Source organism: Homo sapiens, chromosome 3 (assembly GCF_000001405.40).
Source record: "Homo sapiens chromosome 3, GRCh38.p14 Primary Assembly".
NCBI lineage: Eukaryota > Metazoa > Chordata > Mammalia > Primates > Hominidae > Homo > Homo sapiens.
In genome coordinates this window covers 21933203-21953788 of record NC_000003.12, presented here as the reverse complement: position 1 = coordinate 21953788, position 20586 = coordinate 21933203, and the positions used below count along the sequence as shown (strand labels likewise).

At 33.6% G+C, this 20586-nt stretch overlaps 1 protein-coding gene across 10 annotated transcripts in view, besides 1 other annotated feature; it reads left to right on the top strand.

Moving 5' to 3' along the window:
• The window catches only part of ZNF385D (zinc finger protein 385D), a 960546-nt gene that overhangs the window by 418975 nt on the left and 520985 nt on the right, over positions 1-20586 (top strand). For 2 of the 10 annotated variants that reach the window (XM_047448960.1, XM_017007198.2), the window contains exon 1: positions 9442-9616. The exons of the other annotated variants lie outside the window; for them this stretch is intronic. In XM_047448960.1, the coding sequence (XP_047304916.1) occupies positions 9607-9616 (10 nt within the window). In that variant the 5' untranslated portion in view covers positions 9442-9606. Of the gene's footprint in view, positions 1-9441; positions 9617-20586 lie in introns of those variants that run through there. 10 annotated transcript variants of the gene reach the window in all.
• Positions 7396-7565: an enhancer, noted in NCBI's record as "experimental_68153 CRE fragment used in MPRA reporter constructs". NCBI's record gives its function as "activates a minimal promoter by MPRAs in K562 erythroleukemia cells, with activity observed for both the introgressed and non-introgressed 3:21987801 variant alleles {active_cell/tissue: K562}" and the evidence as "EXISTENCE:reporter gene assay evidence [ECO:0000049][PMID:34662402]".

Genomic DNA, 20586 nt, shown 5'->3' with positions numbered 1-20586 from the left:
ATCTTTGTGCAAGCCTAAGTAAATTACTCTCTCAGGCATCATATTTATTTTAGTTACATGAATATTAAAAAAATGGATGGCTGGTTATAGTATTTGCTGAAGTTAAATGGAAGGGCAAAAATGCTCTCTATTCCTTGAATGTTTAGAAAACACAGGGGTTTAGTTGAGGTAAAAAATATGAGTTAATGTCATTTTCCTGGAAGCTACCCTATTTAAAAGTAGCCACTAAGAACCAAAGCTATTGAATAAACTGTATTTTAGCCATTTGATAAAACTTTTCTTAGAAGTATTACTTGGATGTAAATATTTAATCTTGCTGAAATTATATTTGTTCAGGAAGTTTCAAATATAGCATAAGGAATATAGTCATAAAAGATGAATCAAAGGAGAATGATATAATGAAAAATCAGAATGGAATTCAAAGATCCAGTCAATTTTACGTTTTTTCCAGATATTTTACTGTCATCCAAAAACTAAATAATTACCTATTGAGCTTGATGTAACTTTTTAGAGGAAAAAAAAAAAAGTTTTATTCTGAGCCTCTAGTTTGTAAGTTCTGCTGCTTGCTTGAAATGTGCATTTCCCACATGACCTTTACAAATGTTTTATTAGATTTAATTAAACAGAGACAGGAAAGAAAAGAAACACTTGAGGAAAATCTGGCCAGCAGAGAAGATAATACTGTAGAGTACTCAGGTTTGACAATTGTGGTAGTTTGTAACCCAACGAAGCACATAAAGCTGGAAAATAAAGAAACTAGATACCTGCAATCTTGATTTTGTGATTGCTGAATGTGTTTAGTAAGGGAGAAGAATAGAAAGTATTTAAGGCATCATGGGAAACCTCTTTGAAAGTCTGAGAAATGAGTTTATAGACCGTGAACATTTTTCGTGTAACTAGCAATTCTACCTTTGGCATCAGAAATTTCATTTGAGTTTAGTTTATGTATGATATAAAAGGCAATGGAAATGTTTAGTTTTGGAACTTTTTTGAAAGAATCATAAAATATATTAAGTAGCAGTTACATTTTTATACTATTGTATAAAAAGATTTTGATACCAGTCACCAAAAATTAATCCATAATTATATGAAATAAATATATTTAAGTGACTGTTTTAGGCCAAGCTCGGAGTTAGTAGTTAAATTTGAAGTATTTAATTATCACAACCACTTTCTGAGTTAGGTTTTATTATTATCTATATTTTAAAGGTGAGAAAACTGAGGTTTAGGGGGATTCCAAAATCATCAAGTAAGTAATGACATCAGGACTTAAACCCAGGCCATTTGACCTTAAAAGTATAGTCCATTTTTTTTCACATTTTAATAATTCTGATATCAGGTTGTGGCTTAAAATTAAGGCAAACAATTTTGTATCATGTTGATGTTGATTGATGCCTCTCCTAATGAGGCCTTTTATTAAATTCAAAATGTGTTTTAAAATTTTATGGTGTCTTAGGATCAAGAAAATGTCACGTTAGAGAGTAAAACAAAGACCACTAGATCTTGGGAATGGAAATAAAAGTAGTGGAGATGCCAGGCAAGGAAATACAGATCAGTGAGAAAAATCAGAGTATCCTACTGAGGGGTCAATTCAGGATTTTTAAGCCATGAGAGGAGAGAGGAAACCATCATAGTTACTACATCATATTTACATCACATATAACAATTGAAGGCAACATTCTGGATAGGAAGGTATGAGATCATTGGTTCTTAGTTGCTTAAAAAGAGTCCCATTGTTCTTTGCTCAAGACAGTCTTGTGTTGAGTTCAGGGGGTCAGTTAGGTCCTGAAGATCTAAAATAATGGAGTCTCTCAAAGGTCATGGTTTTTCAACAACCTCATCTAGTTAATGCTCTTTGTGGAAAAACATAACATTCAGTTTTACTATCTCCATGCAAGTGCTGCAGAAATGGAAAGTTTTTCTTTCTATTCTTTTTCCAGGGGCTAAATAAAAGAATATAAACTCAAGAGTGGGGGAGAATCCTACCTTTAAGCCAATAATTTAGAAAATGCATTGTATATATAGAACAAATTTAAAAGTTGAAGGGTTTATTTCAGTATGTATAGTAAAAGTAGGGCCTGAATAAAGACCATGTAGGTGCACCAACAGCTTCACTTTTTAAAGAAGCAAAGCATTGTCATGGAAAACAAGTAGTGGAGACAGTGGAAGAACCCTAATTCAGAAAATAGGGTCTTATTCAACGTAGTATTGGAAGTTCTGGCCGGGGCAATCAGGCAAGAGGAAGAAATAAAGGGTATTCAAATAGGAAGAATGGAAGTCAAATTGTCTGTGTTTGCAGATGACATGATTGTATATTTATTTAGAATACCCGATCGTCTCAGCCCCAAATCTCCTTAAGCTGATAAGCAGCTTCAGCAAAGTCTCAGGATACAAAATCAATGTGCAAAAATCACAGGCATTCCTATACACCAATAATAGACAATCAGATAGCCAAATCATGAGAGAACTCCCATTCACAATTGCTACAAAGAGAATAAAACACCTAGGTATACAACTTATAAGGGATGTGAAGGACCTCTTCAAGGAGAACTACAAACCACTGCTCAAGGAAGTAAGAGAGGACAGAAACAATTGGAAAAACATTCCATGTTCATGGACAGGAAGAATCAGTATCATGAAAATGGCCATACTGCCCAAAGTAATTTATAGATTCAATGCTATCCCCATCAAGCTACCATTGACTTTCTTCACAGAATTAGAAAAAAACTACTTTAAGTTTAATGAGAACCAAAAAAGAGCCCATATAGGCAAGACAATCCTAAGCAAAAAGAACAAAGCTGGAGGCATCATGCTACCTGACTTCCAACTATACTACAAGGCTACAGTAACCAAAACAGCATGGTACAGGTACCAAAACAGATATACAGACCAATGGAACAAAATAGAGGCCTCAGAAATAATGCCACAAATCTACAACCATTGGATTTTTGGCATACTGACAAAAACAAGCAATGGGGAAATGATTCCTTATTTAATAAGTGGTGTTGGGAAAACTGGCTAGCCATATGCAGAAAATTGAAACTGGACCCCTTCCTTACACCTTATGCAAAAATTAACTCAAGATGGATTAAAGACTTAAATGTAAGACCTAAAACCATAAAAACCCTAGAAGAAAACCTAGGCAATACCATTTAGGACATGGGCATGGGCAAAGACTTCATGACTAAAACACCAAGAGCAATGGCAACAAAAGCCAAAATAGACAAATGGGATCTAATTAAAGAACTTCTGCACAGCAAAAGAAACTATCATCAGAGTGAACAGGCAACCTACAGAATGGGAGAAGATTTTTGCAATCTGTGCCTCTGACAAAGGGCTAATATCCAGAATCTACAAAGAACTTAAGCAAGTTTACAAGAAAAAAACACCTCCATCAAAAAGTGGGCAACGGATATGAAGAGATACTTCTCAAAAGAAGACATTTATGTGACCAACAAACATGAAAAGAAGCTCATCATAGCTGGTTATTAGAGAAATGCAAATCAAAACCACAATGAGATACCATCTCATGCCAGTTAGAATGGTGATCATTAAAAAGTCAGGAAACAACAGATACTGGAGAAGATGTGGAGAAACAGGAACACTTTTACACTGTTGGTGGGAGTGTAAATTAGTTCAACCATTGTAGAAGACAGTGTGGTGATTCCTCAAGGATCTAGAACCAGAAATACCATTTAACTCAACAATCCCATTACTGGGTATATACCCAAAGGATTATAAATCATTCTACTATAAAGACATGTGCACACATATGTTTATTGTGGCACTGTTCACAATAGTAAAGACTTGGAACCAACCCAAATGCACATCAATGATAAACTAGATAAAGAAAATGTGGCACATATACACCATGGAATACTATGCAGCCATAAAAAAGGATGAGTTCATGTCTTTTGCAGGGACATTAATGAAGCTGGAAATGGTCATTCTCAGCAAACTAACACTGGAACAGAAAACCAAATACTGCCTGTTCTCACTCACAAGTGGGAGTCGAACAATGAGAACACATGGACGCGTGGAGGGGAACATCACACACCAGGGCCTGTTGGCTGGTGAGGGACTAGGGGAGGGATAGCATTAGGAGAAATACCTAATGTAGATGATGGGTTGATGGGTGCAGCAAACCACAGTGGCACTTGTATACCTATGTAACAAACCTGCACGTTCTGTGCATGTATCCCAGAACTTAAAAGTATTAAAAAAAAAAAAAAAAGAAAGAAAGAAAAGAAGGAAAGAAAATAGGGGCATGGAGATGAAGGCCGAACTCAGAAAGCACTCATCTAGTTTAGACTACCCTAAAACACTTGAGCTCAATAGCATTCAAATACACCTACACTCCACTGAGAGGCCCAACAATAAAGATAGCCACCCCAACCGATGGGATGGAAAAGGCACAGCACATCAGGATGGAGGATGAAACACAGGTTCTCAAGTGGAAAGCATTTCTAATGTGTGCACACACAGACACAAACACTCACAAATATCTAAAAGGACACCATGTCATATAGAATTATTAAACACTATTGAAAAATCAGGGAAGATATTTGTAGTATTTTGCCAAAAATTCTGTTTCCCTAAGAATTCTTATAATTCAATTGGAAAATAAAGTTTCCAAGAAAAAATTAAGCAGATGATAAAAGGAATTGTCACAAAACAAATGAACAATGAGTGTATTAAATATCACAATATCACTAGTAACTAAATACATGTAAGTTAAAGAGCACAAATGGTAAAAAGGTAAAATTTTTGGATATTAAGTAAGGACATGAAATACTGCAAAACCCAATGTATTGAAGGAAAAATAGACCATTCCTGGAGGGCAATTTGTCAATGTAATTGGTAAAACTATAATAATTGTTTAATTTAAAGTTTTCTTTGTTAATTTTATCCTAAAATCTTACACAAGATTTTTAGATCAAAGACAGATTTCTTATACTTCATAGCAAAAATTATTTTTCAATTGTAACATAATAGTTAATTTCACATTTTTTGTTCTATATTTTTCAACGTTTTTACAGTGAACAATGAAATTGAGAAAAAAGTGACAATGAATGAAATATTTGTCTCATGCAATTGGAAAACAGAGAAGGCAAGTGTATGGATTATAGCAGAATCTAATGAATTAGAAAAAATAAAACTGATAAATCAAAATATTATATGCCAATTCAGTATATAGAAATCTGGTATTTTTCACAACGAAAATGGCATATACAAATATATAATATTAGATGTGAGAAGCGGGGTAGTTATGTGACTATATGTCCAAAACCCTCCAGCAATATTGAATATTTTACTATAAAATGTAAATTTTCTAAGAGACTTAAGGAATTTAAGGAGGAGCAGAAAATCAGTATCTGTGGAAAAACTTGTCAATGCAAAGAAAGAAAAGAAAAACCTGCCTCCTAAAAGAGTTTCTGGGTTCAGAATGTTTTATTAATACCAGGAAAGTTTTTTTTAATTTGCTTTTTACATTTTATGTCATAGAGCCAATATTGGAATGCTTTGTTTCTCTTAAATTAATCTATTTCAGTAAGTGTAAAAAAAATGAGGGCCATTTATGAAATTTATTGATATAATTAAGAAAAGAGAAGAATCCATCCAGTTTTGATGGTGGATTGAACTGTCAGATGTTACACAGCTTTAGTAATTATATTAGTGTGATATTGACAGGAAAAAAAGATGTACATTAATTAGTAAATTATAACAGAAAGTCCAGAATCAGACATAAATTTATATGAAAATTAATTATAATGGCAGCATTTAAAATGAATAAAGAGTGGGTTTTTCAAGTGGCATCAGAACAAAGAACTAATTGTATCAAAAATTAAAAACAGTATCTTGCTCTCTACTTCATATAATGTGGTGAAACAAAACCCAGGAGAAATATTGCTTCAAAAGTAACAAATTCTATTAAATATAGACAAATACATAACCCTGACTTGGAAAGAGTCTTTCTAAGCATAACACCAATGATTGAAACCATAAATTTAAAAAATTGATATATTTTGGTGTATCAACAAAAATACAGATGATAGAAAAAAGATAGATGGATTAATACATATAGAGATATTACACGCAAAAAATAGTCATGCAAATGACCAATTTAAAAATAACTTATAGCCGGGCGCGGTGGCTCACGCCTGGAATCCCAGCACTCTGGGAGTCCAATGTGGGCGGTTCGTGAGGTCAGGAGTTCGAGACCAGACTGGCCAACACAGTGAAACCCCATCTCTACTAAAAGTACAAAAAATTAGCCAGGCATGGTGGTGCACACCTGTAATCCCAGCGACTCAGGAGGCTGAGGCAGGAGAATGGCTTGAACCCAGGAGGCGGAGGTTGCAGTGAGACGAGATTGTGCCATTGCACACAATCTGGGCGACAGAGCGAGACTCTGTCTCAAAATAAATAAATAAATAAATAACTAGTAAAATACATGAAAGAGCCTTGAAAGACATAACTTTATAAGAGAGTGGCTTAACTGTACCATAAATTTGCCAATATTTATATATAAGCAACTCAAAATATATTTAAATCGTAAATTCGCTATTGTATTTATAAGTTTGATGCTGTGTGTGGAGTTGTAAGTAAAATATTCAGTGTTCCTTATATCCAAGTGGTATATTAATTATTACAAACTTTCATGAGTGCAAACTGAAATATTTATATCACCTTTGACCCCAAAATTCCATTTGGAAAAATTTAGGTTAAGAAAGAAATCATAGATTCACAAGACATTTCTCAGGCATACTCAAACTGATGTTTTTTTTTAGAAGGGTCAAATTGGCATTAATCCACAAGACCAATCAGGTATTTGAATTTAAATAATTATGGTAGATCTGCACATTGCAATGTGATATGGCTTCTTAAAAATGTTTTTGTGGAAGATGCTTCAAAATGAGAAAGTAATTTTTTTAATGTTTTTATTTTTACTTTTTAGACACGGAGTGTCGCTCTATCACCCAGGCTGGAGTGCAGTAGCGCAATTTCGGCTCACTGCAACCTCCGCCTCTTGGGTTCAAGTGTTTCTCCTGCTTCAGCCTCCCTAGTAGCTGGCATTACAGGTGCAAGCTACCACACCTGGCTAATATTTGTAGTTTTAATAGAGACGGAGTTTCACCTTGTTAGCCAGGCTGGTCTCCAACTCCTGAGCTCAAGTGATCCACTTGCCTCAGCCTCCCAAAGTTCTGGGATTACAGGTGTGAGCCACTGTGCTTGGCCTGAGAAAGTAAGTTTTAACATAGTGTTACATGAAAACAAATCAGTTCATAAGAACATTCTACTTAAAAATATGTATTAGAGAAACAAAGAAAAACTTCAAAAACTTTTTATCTTTAAAATCTAATGAATTAATTTTCAACTTTGCAATGCCTACAAACTAATGGGTGACTCCATGTAGACTGCTTTATGTGTTGAATTTCTTGTACATGATATACAGCATTGAATATATATACATAAAAATGTTTTGTGTATATAAAGAATGTAAAATAACTAATAGACTATTAAATATTTTACTTTCTGTAATTGTCTCATTTTAAATAGAGGATGGAAATGGTTAAGTTAAAAGAGAAAAGTTCTCTTTCTCTTTAAAAGAAAAATCAAGGAACCAATGCTTCTCCAAAAGAGAAGATCCTAATTTTGTGGTTCACCGGTGTATGACTTTGGAGAAATAGATAAATACATTTGGTGAATTGATCCATGACCTGAGCAGCGGTCAGCTAAATCAGCTAGTTTGCCATGTGAATATGCACACTGCATTAAGTAAAATTAAGAGATGATTACTGAGTTCAGCTTAAGTTCATATTACTGTGAACTGATTTCTTAATTTTTAGAGAGCTCTGAAATTGAGAAGCATAACTCAAAATGTAAGACTTATTAATCTGAATTCCTCAAAGAGGAAATGAAGCATAATTACTTATGTTTCCAGTATAAACACATAATATGAGTTCATCAGCTTCATATGTCAAGGCACACATTTAAACAATTTTTCTTTAAGACATTTCACAAAGTTAGGTAATTCCACAATGTAGGTTAACATGGCAATTCTAGTTAAGGGTAGGATTAAGAAACTTACATCAATTGGGCAGAGGATCACTGAGCCAGACACACAATAAAAGCAACGAAATAAGTTTTTGAAGATAAACATTTACCATGGTGTAAAATTCTTAGTCCAGAAAAAAACATTTGTTCAACCTACTTTATGTCATCTTCTTTCACATGATCAAAATAATTTAATCTTGATAGCTCCCTAGGCATTATTATTTTTGTTTTACAGAAATTGAAATTAAGTTTTTCAGTGAGTTGTTGAAGTTTTCACAGCTAGTGAGTAGAAAAACCAGGCTTAAAATGTTTGCTCTTCTATGAAGAAAACATACAACTAACGTGCATCTCACCATAAACATGCATTTTGCATGCATGAACATTCACATTGGTTAAAAAATTTTTCTGAAGACCAGACAATATTCACAAACTCTATTAAGTCAGTTATCATTTTTCTATCCCAGCCTGTGTGGCATAGAAAAATTTCTCTTTCTCCTCTCTCTGTCTCTTTCTCTCTTTCATTCTCTTTCTCTCAATCTGTCTCTCTCTCTCTCACTATATATATATGTGTGTGTATATATATATGCATATACATATATATACACACACGTATATACATGCACACACACACACATTCAAATATAGTCAGTGAATATACGCATTTAGTATTTGACAAATATTATGATGTATATTTTCTAAGAGACTACCTATGTGTAAATCGAAAATAAGAATTTCAAATGATTCATATTGATAGGGAATTTGTAATGTTTTCTATGTAAATGAGAGTTACAAAACTCATTAAGAAGTACTCAACTGTACTGCTCTATAAAATGAAGATGAAGGTATTGACCTAGTAAGTACTTTACATATATATCTACATTTCTATAATTTTATTCATCAATGAATTTGCTCATTTATTCTGGAAAAAATTAAATGTGTCATAAAATAATATAAAATAATAATCTTAATTTGATTTTCAAATTTTTTTCTCCTCTCTCATCCCATAACACTAATGAGCATTTTCTTGTCAAAGTTGGGAGTTAAGAAATTTAACGTTTCTAAATGATTCTGTAAACCTAGTTATTCTCCCACCCTTCAGCTGAACTGCTTTGAAAATACAATGTGCAAAGCTGCAGATTAACAGTGCTTAAATGTACAGGGTTGACGTAATTTCAGGCTGCTTGAATTAACTCTCTTCGACAAGCCTTTCCTTGCGAACCACCAGCAGAAAAGTTCCTCTTTGTCTACAGTTACAAGCCAGGCTCCAGTCACTGGGAGTTTTCGCATTGTTTCTAATATATTGGTGCTCGGACAAAGTTGAATCATCCCCTATGAAAGCTTGACTGCCCAAAGGGTATAAACCCAATTGTCAGTGGTTTCTTCAGCTTTGACAGTTCTCAGTGTGATCCTAACAGCCTCTGGTAAAACAAGAAGGCAAGAGAAAATCTGCAGAGACGACCTTCTATTCATTTCTGTAATAGTTTTCTTGCCACAGGAGACTTAAGAAGATTTGTACAGCCTGCTCTCTTTTCATTAGCAGAAAGTGCAATGCTGCTGGGTAAGTTAATGTGTAAGACTGTAGAAAAGAAGAGTGCTGTATATATGAATTTTTATTCCATTTAAAAAACTATCCTTTTACTTAAGTACAATACAGCTGAAAATATAAATAAATGGTAAATATATTTAATATTTTCTTAATCATAGACTTAGCATCTGGCTTCATTCTGTTTGTTGAATGCAATTCCATGGTTCACTAGGTTTTGGTATGAACATGTTAAAATTATCGTTACTGAACTGACAAGGAAGCTTGATTGAATTTTTAACACAGTCATAATTCTTGTCGTCAAATGTAACAGTATTTAATGATTTCTTTGTATTTCCATATGCAACAAAATGCATCAGTGTTTTCAGGCTTAGTTTGGCCATTCCATTAAACTGCCAGGACTAAATTACTGTTCATGTAGTATCTTTATTTCCTTCTTTGCTAGCAAAATTATATCTGGTTAGTAAAATCTCTCACTTTGGTTGAGAAAAATCTACATGTTTACATTAGTTATAGCACACAGTAACTAACATATAAATGCATTTATTCATTATGTACATAAAAGACATTTCCCTTACAAAGTAGTATATATAATTTGTTGAGTACATGTTGCTATTTTTCTTTTATAATTTAATCTATACTGTATCATATGAACTAATTTCCCAGTTAAAATATTGATGAAATATACTGAATATATTATAATTAGTAGATATATCATTTTTTTCCATGATGTTGTCACTGCAGAAGTCATTAATACTATCAAAGATCAGTATTTGATAAATTGGAACATAGAAAAAGAGATAAGACAGGATAAGTCAAATAAATAATTACTTATTCTTTCTCACTCGCTATATATATGTATATATATACATATATATACACACACACACATCTATACACACACACACACACATTCAAATATAGAGTCAGTGAATATATCCATTTAGTATTTACTAGTCGCTTTTATAAATTAGTTATTTCTTCAAGATGCCTTTTTTCACTATAAGCTAGACAGTACCAAAATGTGAACTGGGTGGAATAAATTAATACTTCCCTCATTTTTAGGCCTTCCAGTATGAAATAGCTGAATTTAGCCTAAAGTTAAGACCTTTTTTGGCTTTTCTGATACAGTTTTTATTTTTAGAAGTATGAGTTCTTATGTGAAGTAATATTACATTTATAAGTTCTTAACCATTGTCATGAAGATTCCAGTGTGGACCTAGAAGGGTTAAGTTATAACATCTTACAAGGCAAAATAAGTGATAACTTTAAAATAAGACTGATGAAGTTGGCCTTCAGCTTTTGGTGAAATCCTATGTTTTTTAGATATGTTACAGAACAGCATATATTATATCTGTGATTAGGGATGTCTTAAACAATGACCTGATTAAAGAACTGCCAATAGAAGTGTTCTTTTCTTCCCCTACATCTTTAAATTGTTTCCCCTGACAGTTTGTGATGGTGTGTTGACATTTTGAAATATCAAAGCAGAGAATAACCATTGATACAGCTGTCTGACTTACCATGGTTCCTTATTATAGCAATCATGTTACCACGGGCCATACTTCTGTCAACAGCACTTCATCACAGATGCCCCAATTGCCCATATATGCATGAAAGCTCAGAGCATTGCCTGCCAAAGATGCAATAAATCAAGGAGCAAATTATGTGGCTGTTTCTGCAGCGCTTAGATATTCTTGTGTCCTCGTGGCCACGCGCTTTTATTCGCTTACTAAGTTTCTAAACAATGCATTAGCTGAAGGATGAGTCCTTACATTCTGTTTGTATTATGTGTCATAGTAAGGAAGGATGACTCACTAGAAATTAGAATGTGGATTATAATCCAAAAGAGCCCCTCATTTATGAACAGGTTTAGGGAAAGAATTCAAATCTATTTTTATTTGCTTATTCTCCTCTGACCATTTAAAAAAGGAGTCATTTTATTTTAAAAACAAACTACGTGAATAACAAGTGGGTATGATTTCTCTAAAAATTAAAATGTAATATTTCAGAAATTTTAAAAATTACGCTATAAAATTTTTGACAACTTATCAGTTACTTGACATAATACACATAAAGTTAAAGTGTTACTGTTTTGTCATGTCCTTAGCTATAACATATACATTTGACAATACACATGTGTATGTTGTATATATTTTCTTTATAAAAGAGAAAAGTTCCAGGAAAGCGGAATTTCCCAAATTCAAGAAGAATAATTGTATATAACCTAATGGCTTCTAGCTATGGGACTTTGTAAAAGGACCTAAGGCTATGAATGAGGAAGAACAATTTTTCTAAAAAATAATTTTTATTTTTCATCATAGAGCTTAAAGATTTAGTTGCCTCAAATTAATTGTAGAATGAGGTGGGCCATAACACAGAAATTAAAGAGGCCGGGCATGGTGGCTCACCCCTGTAATCCCAGCACTTTGGGAGGCCGAGGTGGGCGGATCACGAGGTCAGGAGATCGAGACCATCCTAGCTAATACGGTGAAACCCCGTCTCTACTAAAAATACAAAAAATTATCCGGACGTGGTGGCGGGCGCCTGTGGTCCCAGTTACTCGGGAGGCTGAGGCAGGAGAATGGCGTGAACCCGGGAGGCGGAGGTTGCAGTGAGCCGAGATCATGCCACTGCATTCCAGCCTGCGGGACAGAGTGAGACTCCATCTCAAAAAAAAAAAAAAAAAAAAAAAAAGAGTAATGGAATTAAAATGGAAAAAGACCATAGAAAACATCCTGCTTAATCACTATACTTGGTAGATCATTGTTTGCTTCACTTATTTCAGCTAAGTAGGAAATTGTATTATACCTGACATTTGAGTCAGCTTAGTGCATACATATACTACTACTCTATTTCCAAATAGATAATATTTTTGTCAGAGAATGTATTGGTATTCTCATAATAACAAAATTTCCCCAAAAATGGCATTATCAACATAGTAACATATAAATTCCATAAGCTAGGTCACACAGCTAAGAAAAATCAAAGCTTTGAACCCAAATATTTTGTTTCCTGGGACTTCCCTTTTAACCACCATACAATAGAAATAGTGCTCAAGTCATTTAATAGTTTTCTACAGAATACAAAGTAGGTGTTAAATTGTGTCATCTTTTTTCATTGGCTGGAATCACACTTTCCAAGATAATTTGCTTTTGTCCCTCATTGATCTTTATTAGTTATCGGTTTCAAACACTTTAGATTTAATATTCTTTGTTTTTCAGCCTTTGATGAAACATGAATTATGTAAAAGTACTTGGATGGATCCTCTGTGGTGTATTTCTATTTGAAGTAACTTCTTACAAAGTTGGTACTATTTTTGCAGTATTCAAAACTATTTCTGTATTATGACATTGATAAATATTTTATGCAGCATATTTTTACATATATTTTCTTCCTTAAAAATAAATATATTTTGGAACCTCCCTGACCACTGTATATGAACTCTTTATACTCCAAGCCTACTTTTATCCTCGTAGCCTAACTTATACTTTTTATTTTTTCACAGCATTGAAATATAGTGAACTATATTACATATTTATAATCTGATTGTTGTCTATCTCCCTAACTAGAATCTAAGTTCCTTGATAGCATATAGACTAGGTTTGTTCTGTTTTGTTTTCATTGCTGCACTTCAGCAAGAAGCAGAGTTTCTGGCATAAAATATAAACTTTGTTGACTTGAATGTTGAACGAACTGATAATACCCAGATGTAACATTGCATTTGCTATGTTGTAAAAAATAGTGCTTTACATATGTATTTCCTAATCTTCACATCCAATTTACTTGCCAAGTAGTTATTCTTTTTCCCATTTGACAGACGAAGAACGTGAGATACATGGGGAGTAAGCAACTTGCCACTAAATGGGTGAACTGGGTGAACTGGTGTCAAATCCACCTCTGCTTGCCCTTAAAATCCATAAACACTTTTTTTGCTACATCACATTACCTGATGATACGTTACACTTAAAATTTTTTTCATATGTTGAAAAAAGGAATAGAGAAATATCAGTAGACACCGTCATAGTTCGTGGTTTGTCAGAAACTTATAAAATAACGCAAACAAGACAAAAGTTTCCAAAGACCTCTAAAACAAAAAGACCCAGGGAAGAAATAAAAAAGGAAATAAAAGAACTGGAAAGAAGTGAGGCATGTTCAGAGAAAATTCATTTAGCTCTAACTTTTCCTTCCTCACTGGTTAGTCTAAAAATGCTTTCATTCTTCTTTCCCTGGGACAACTTAATACTCTTCCATTCATCACTCCCTATGTGAATTTTTTCCTTTTGCCAAATGAGTTTACTCAGTGCCATCTGAACAAGGAACTGTGCTTTACTTATATAGATCTCTCACATCTGAGGCCTTCCCTTCCAATGATAGAAAAGCTTTCCATTCCTTTTCCAAAGTCTTTCTCCTATCGAATCTAGTGCTTAAAACCTTCAGCCTACAATCACAGTAAGCCTTGATATAATCTCATGGCATCAGTTATTGAACTCATCACAAATTGTTTTAAGACATTTCTAATATAATTTTTATTTAACACTTGATTTCTCTCCATTCATCTATATTTTCTTTTTTTATTATAAGGACTGGATATTTAATTCCTTCTATACTATATTTAGGAGCTCAACAGGGCTTGATTGAATGATTATTGTTTTAAAATACAATGCAACTTATAATTTACAATATATAATTGGTGGATGGTTTTTTTTGTGAACAAGTGTATAGTTTTTAGAGGCCTAAATTCTTTCTGAGTTCTATGGTAAAAAGTTGTACAGTCAGGTCAAACTATGTTTTGATTCCATTTTCACCACTCTTACCTTCTGAATGGTCTTTGAGAAATTCCTTACGTTCCCTAAAATGAAGAAAATAATACGTACTTAACAGTGTTGTTATCCTGACTAAATGCAATTATGTTCATATTAAACCCCTGATTTAGAGCCAAAGTAGGCACGGGGTAGAAGCCCAATAAATGCTAATTATTGTGGTAATGATCATAGTTGGTATTTCAGTGGGCAAATATAGGGACTTTACCACCATTCTTGCCCTAGTAATGACAGCACATTAGTCTCCACTTGTCTTTGTCTTTACCGACATTTTTAACTCCCATTTAGTTGCCAGCATGGAAAATTAGTTTAGTGAGAAACCTGCCCCATCAATGTGACATCCAGAACTTCTAGCAACCAAATTCCAGATACCAGGAAGCACAAAAGATGGGCCTTGAACTGGAAGACTTCACAGTTCAGTTCAGTGACTACCTCATGAGCTTCAAACAATGAAGAATACACTTATATACTAAATTGCAAAGTAACGAATAAAATTAAAGTAAAAGTTGGGAAGGCCTGAAACTGGATAAGAAAGAGTAGAAGGAGTGAACTTGATCTTGACTTTGTGGGATAATAGCCTTTGTACTGAATTACACATAGAAAGATGGACATAGAAGGTGGGGGTGTTGAGGTGGACATTAGTTTTAGGGGAAAGTGCACATGAAGCACGGTAAGAAAGGAATGCGTGTGAGTGCAGAACAGCAATGAGCAGTGTGACTGACATGGCAGGTGTCTGACGCAGTTGGAGAGGAAGAATGTAGCCAAATTGTAGACATGCTTAAAATGTAAATAATAGTTTCATTGTGAGACAGTAGGGAGTGGAGAAAAATCCCATGCTTATCATCTGGGCAGTATATGTGGAGTCATTGTCTGAACAAGGTCTAATTCATGTATGTGCTGTGGGTAGGCCAATAATTGCCTAGAAACATCTGGCCTACTTTCATTCTCTCCAATCTCTGCCCGCCTCAGCACTTGCAGCCCAATTAAGTTACAGGAGGTGCATTCAGGCTTGGACCTGATACACTTCAGTGACATGTGTCACACTGCCCTGAGTCACTCTCATCTGCCAGGCTCACCGGTGTCAGTCACAAAAACGTTCTTCTGGGTTCTTGTGCATAACTGAGAGAAAGCTTCTGTTAACTATAGGGTCAAAACCTACTTAGGTATTAGAACAAATTATCCGACTAAAATGGGTACATTTACAAATCCTAGTTTGGTGAAGAAATAAAATTACATCAAAAATGAAATTCTAATTGTCTACAATATTCTATGCATTGGGATTCTGTTCGGTTGAATATCATTTGAGGCAAATAAAAATTTGGACCTCCTTTGTTACGTAGAGATTTCGCACTGTGTTATATTACTTCTGGAAATTACACATCTGCCATATAGAAGAGTTTGGACACTGTTGCAAGAAAGACATTTTTTGAAGAATGTTATTTTCTACTTTTGGTCTTTTTGCTTAAGACATTAATGATTGGAAAATACGCTTATGTTATAGAGGCTACTTAAAGCTACATACATATTGTCTTATATTAACTACATTTAAAGCAAGCATTGGGTTGATAAGACCTTAGAGAATGTATAAAACATTTAAAATTACTGAAACATTTTTGCTTATCATTAAAAGGAAAACACATTTTTTTCTTGTTCACATCAAGCTGTAGGGAAACAGATAATTTTTCTTTAATTTCATGAAAATAACGTCATTTAAATTTTTATAATGTACAGGTTTTTAAAATTTTTTATTTCTATGCATAAATATAAATATAAATACATTTTTAGAATTCAAACAATAGTGAGAAGTTCAGTATAGTCAAGGACACCTCATCATCATTAACACAAAACATCTTTTTTAAAGTTTCTTGATGAGATTTTACAGAGACTTATTAGTGTAGCTAGAATACTTCTAGCATAAATAATTATTAATACAATATCACATAGGTCTGTAGGTGAACTCAATTACAGTGGCACAATGGGGCAAATAACTGTAAAAGTCATTGGCATTATTGTTCTCCGAAGGTCAAAGGCACTGGAGTGGAGAATGGTGAAATTAGATGACAGAGCAGAATAAGAGGCTGTGATTGAAGATGTTCTGGATCACAGACCTTTATTGTACTTTTATTTTTTTAAGGCTTACATTATTTGGGCCTTTCATCTGTGAAAAAAAAATAGTGTATATCATACTATACTTTGATTGAAGTATTTGAACTTTTTATGAACACATTTTTTTCCATCTCAAAAAATATTTTTTTTCTTTCTTGCAGCACTCCAGCTGTGAGGCTAACTTCTATTACTAGTAATGCAAATCTCTCTGACAAAGAATAGTGCTTCTTTCTCTGCTTATTACAATGTTACATTACAACCTTTTATATCCATAAATATTTTACTTACAAGAACCTGAACAGTTGAGATGTTAACAAAGTTGAACCACTTGGAAGGGAAGTGTTTAAATTTAGCAATTCACTGCTAACCTAGTTACAACTATTCCTAACCTTTAATTTCTAATAAAAGCCCAGGAAGTTTACAGACTTTTATTTTATTTTTCAGCACAATGAGGTAAATAAAATCCTCCAGGTATTGCTTCAGTTTTTGAGTCTGTAAGATTTTTTAAAATTTTAGCTTTTAATGAGGACAAGAAACTTGAATCATTTATTTATTCATCTTGAGCTCTAAACTATGCTAATAACTGGGTATACATGGCTGTAAAATAAGATGAAGTTTATGTCTTCACTTAAAGTTTCATTCTAGTAGAGGAAACATTTAACAATCAAACCTATAATAAATGAGTATATAATTATAAATTATGATAAATGCTATAAAAAAAACTATGTGTTCCATGAGAAAGTTACAAAAGACACCAATTTAAATTGTTTATCTCACAGAGTAGGGCTAGTAACAGTAAGGGAAAATAGTATTGGTGAAAAAGCTGCTTTGCACAGAACAATGCTGACATAGCCAAAAAAAAAAAATTGTTACACATCTCAGCTAATATGCTCACACTACTTTAAAAATCTTGAGAATTTTTAGCCTCAATACGCTAAGATGATTGAAATAAATCTTTATGTATATTGTTGAAAGTCGCATTTATCTTCTCTCTTTAAACTCTATGTCATCTCCCTGTGTCTCCTTTCTCCCAAACAAGATTTCTCTCATCTGGTGATGTGAATAAAACTACATTCTTGTAGTTACGCAGGGCTGAGGCTCTTGAATCACCTTAGATCTATCTTCTTATCTTCTCCTCCCTCTCTCACCTCCTCATCCCAGTTAGCTGTGTAACTGGTCTCTGGCCATATTAGTGCTCTACTCCAATTCATTCAGCACCTTTCAAGAGACCAGATGAAATGGCTTTCATCTTCCATTTCTCTCCTTAAGAATTCTCATTGTTCCCCTATTCTGTTGCACTTAGGACACCTCAAACTCAACATTCAAGACCCTTTAAAATGTGACTCTAATCTGACAAGCCAAACTCTGTTTACATGATGTGAACAATTCTAAAACCTCACATGATGTGGACTCCTGCTTAGAAGCCAAAGGAAGTCAAGAAAAGGTACTCCACCGGGTTATGCACAACGAAAAACAAGGGGCAAAGTAAAGTTTAGTTTCAAGTCCAGTGTTGTATCTACTCTGCCTTTGCTCTCCTTGGGATGAGATTTTAGGGAAACTGAGTCTGCCTATATAGTCTTCATTGTATGTGCTAAGAAAAAAAGGTCACTTCTAAACAGACAAGCAACTTTTTACTCTTTCCAGAAAAGTGGACAGATAGGAAATTGATTTTCGTCAACAGAAATCTCAAGTGTACAGGTCTGAAAGGAACTCTAGGAAGGCAGGATTGAAAGAACCAGCAGGTTTTGAGGCTGTAGCATGTGACTTAACTATCTAGGTTCAAACCCACTTGCCAGTTTGTGTTCTCAGTGAATTACTTTATATCTATGTCCCAATTTCTTCATTGTTAAAATGGGAATAATATTCAAGTCATATAGTTATTTGGAGGATAACTGAGTTAATAAGGCACGTACCACAGTGTTTTTTGCTTAGTAAGTGCTGCAGAAGTGTTTGTTACATAAAACGAATGAATCTGTTTTATTGAAATGATGTTCTTATAAAAATTATTTTAAGGCATGCATAGCACAAAAAATTGACTTAATTGCTAATATCAATGGCATATACTTTTGATAATCAGAGAACAAATACTCCTCCACAGCCTCTCTTTCTATACAACTTATTAATATATCATTATGCACTTAACTAGATAAATAATGCATAAAGGAGACTTATTAGGCAAATCAGTTAATTAATGTGGCATAGTTTTAAGGAGGATCCTTTATAGCAACATGCAACTAAGAGCTACCAATGCACTAAGTACCACTGGACACAGAAGTAAAATGTTTTTGCTCATCTTCTTACTCACATCAACTAAGACATAGCTAATATATGTGCAGTCAGACTTCTATGTTTAAGTGGAGATGAGAATTATTTGGTAAATAAAAATGTGGTGAATCAATGTGAAAAAACCAAATTAATTGTAGTTAACAGATTTGTTTACTCATTTGCTGGCAAAACAAGCTCATCTGTTAGTACAGTCAAGCTGCCAGCCAAAGCAGCCTTCCTCAAGGCAGAAATTGCTTAATTAATCCTTAACTGAAGAAATGTGTCCCCCAAACCTGAACTCTCTCATTGTATCACTAAGAGTCCCTCTTGTTGCATTATCAATTTGTAGTCAATTTTTTAATTGTAATCTATTTCTAATGTCTTTGTGATGTAGTCAATAAATAGTTTGTCTTAGAAGTTAAAGCTACATCTGTGTTTTGCATATGTGATTGCTAGAAGAGGTCATCTGGTAAAAAGCCAAGATCTTTACACAGTGAATATTTAACGGTGTAATTATTATTACTAACCTCAGAATATATAATTGATGGTGGTTGCTACTAATTATAAAAGCAGCAAAATAGCTTAATTGGAGCTTAAAGAATCTATTGAAAGTTATTTCTTGCAAATTGTTTTTATTTGGAGTGTTTACATAAAAGCATAGAGCATTATTTCACCCAAATGCAGCTTTTGGTATTCTAGATTTTGTAGGCTCTTCTTCACTCTAAATATCTTCCCATCCAAAAAGAAAAAATATACTTCAACAATAGTTGTTTCAAACAATAGTTGAATTCCAAAGTAAGATTCAACAGAACTGGTAATATTTGCTTCTCAGAACTAAAGAAAATGTATTCTATGACCTATTAAATATCACTATTTTCCCTTGGCTGAAAAGCATGCTCGATTCTCTTTTACACTGAAAGAATGATTTCTTTCTAAATTTTCATTTTTCAGCACTTTTTTTTTAGCCAAAGTTAGGATTTTTTTTTTAATTACCAGTGAGTTACTATGTAAATAATAGTGACTAATTGAGAGGCAACAATGCACCAGGCAACTTTGCTAAGTACCTTTTATGCATTATCTGATCCAATGTTCCTGGCAGTCTTATGATTTAAGTGTAATTAACTCCCTTTTGGACTTGAGAAAACAAAACCTAAGAGAATTTAAATGCTATAATTAAGAAACCAGGAGATAGAAAAGTTGTTTAGATTTTGTTGTTTTCAGGCATCTTTGAATTGAGTTGAAACAATTTGACTTTCTCAATAAGATTTAATTTATATGAAGACTCAACGGTAGAGTCATATTTAGGTAGGATCCATTTATTAGTATTTGTCATGGTATACAGAAATTAATATAGATTCTCATTCTTTTCTCAAATATAAAGTAATGCTATATTTTTGCTTTCCATGTTAATGCTAAATGCCATCATGTTAGGCCCATATAGTACAAAGCAGATCTAGGGACCTGGTCCTGAGATGCTCAGGTAATTATAGCCTATGAAGCATTGGCCTTTTTCACAAATGGGGACAAATTCTGTGTATTAGTATCTTCTTAAATTACCATCAATAGTCTCATGTATTAATATTTTAAACTAGCTCACAGTTACATGATTTCAAATGTACCACAGACTAAGGTATATAGATCAAATAGCAAAATCTATTCAAAGTCAGAGAAATTTCTTCTGGGGACAGAGAAACAAAAGAAGCTGTGATGAACCTTTGCAACTCCTAATTTCACAGATCTAGAGAAGATTCAGGTGTGGAGGGAAAAGAGAAAAAGCAACATAAAATATTA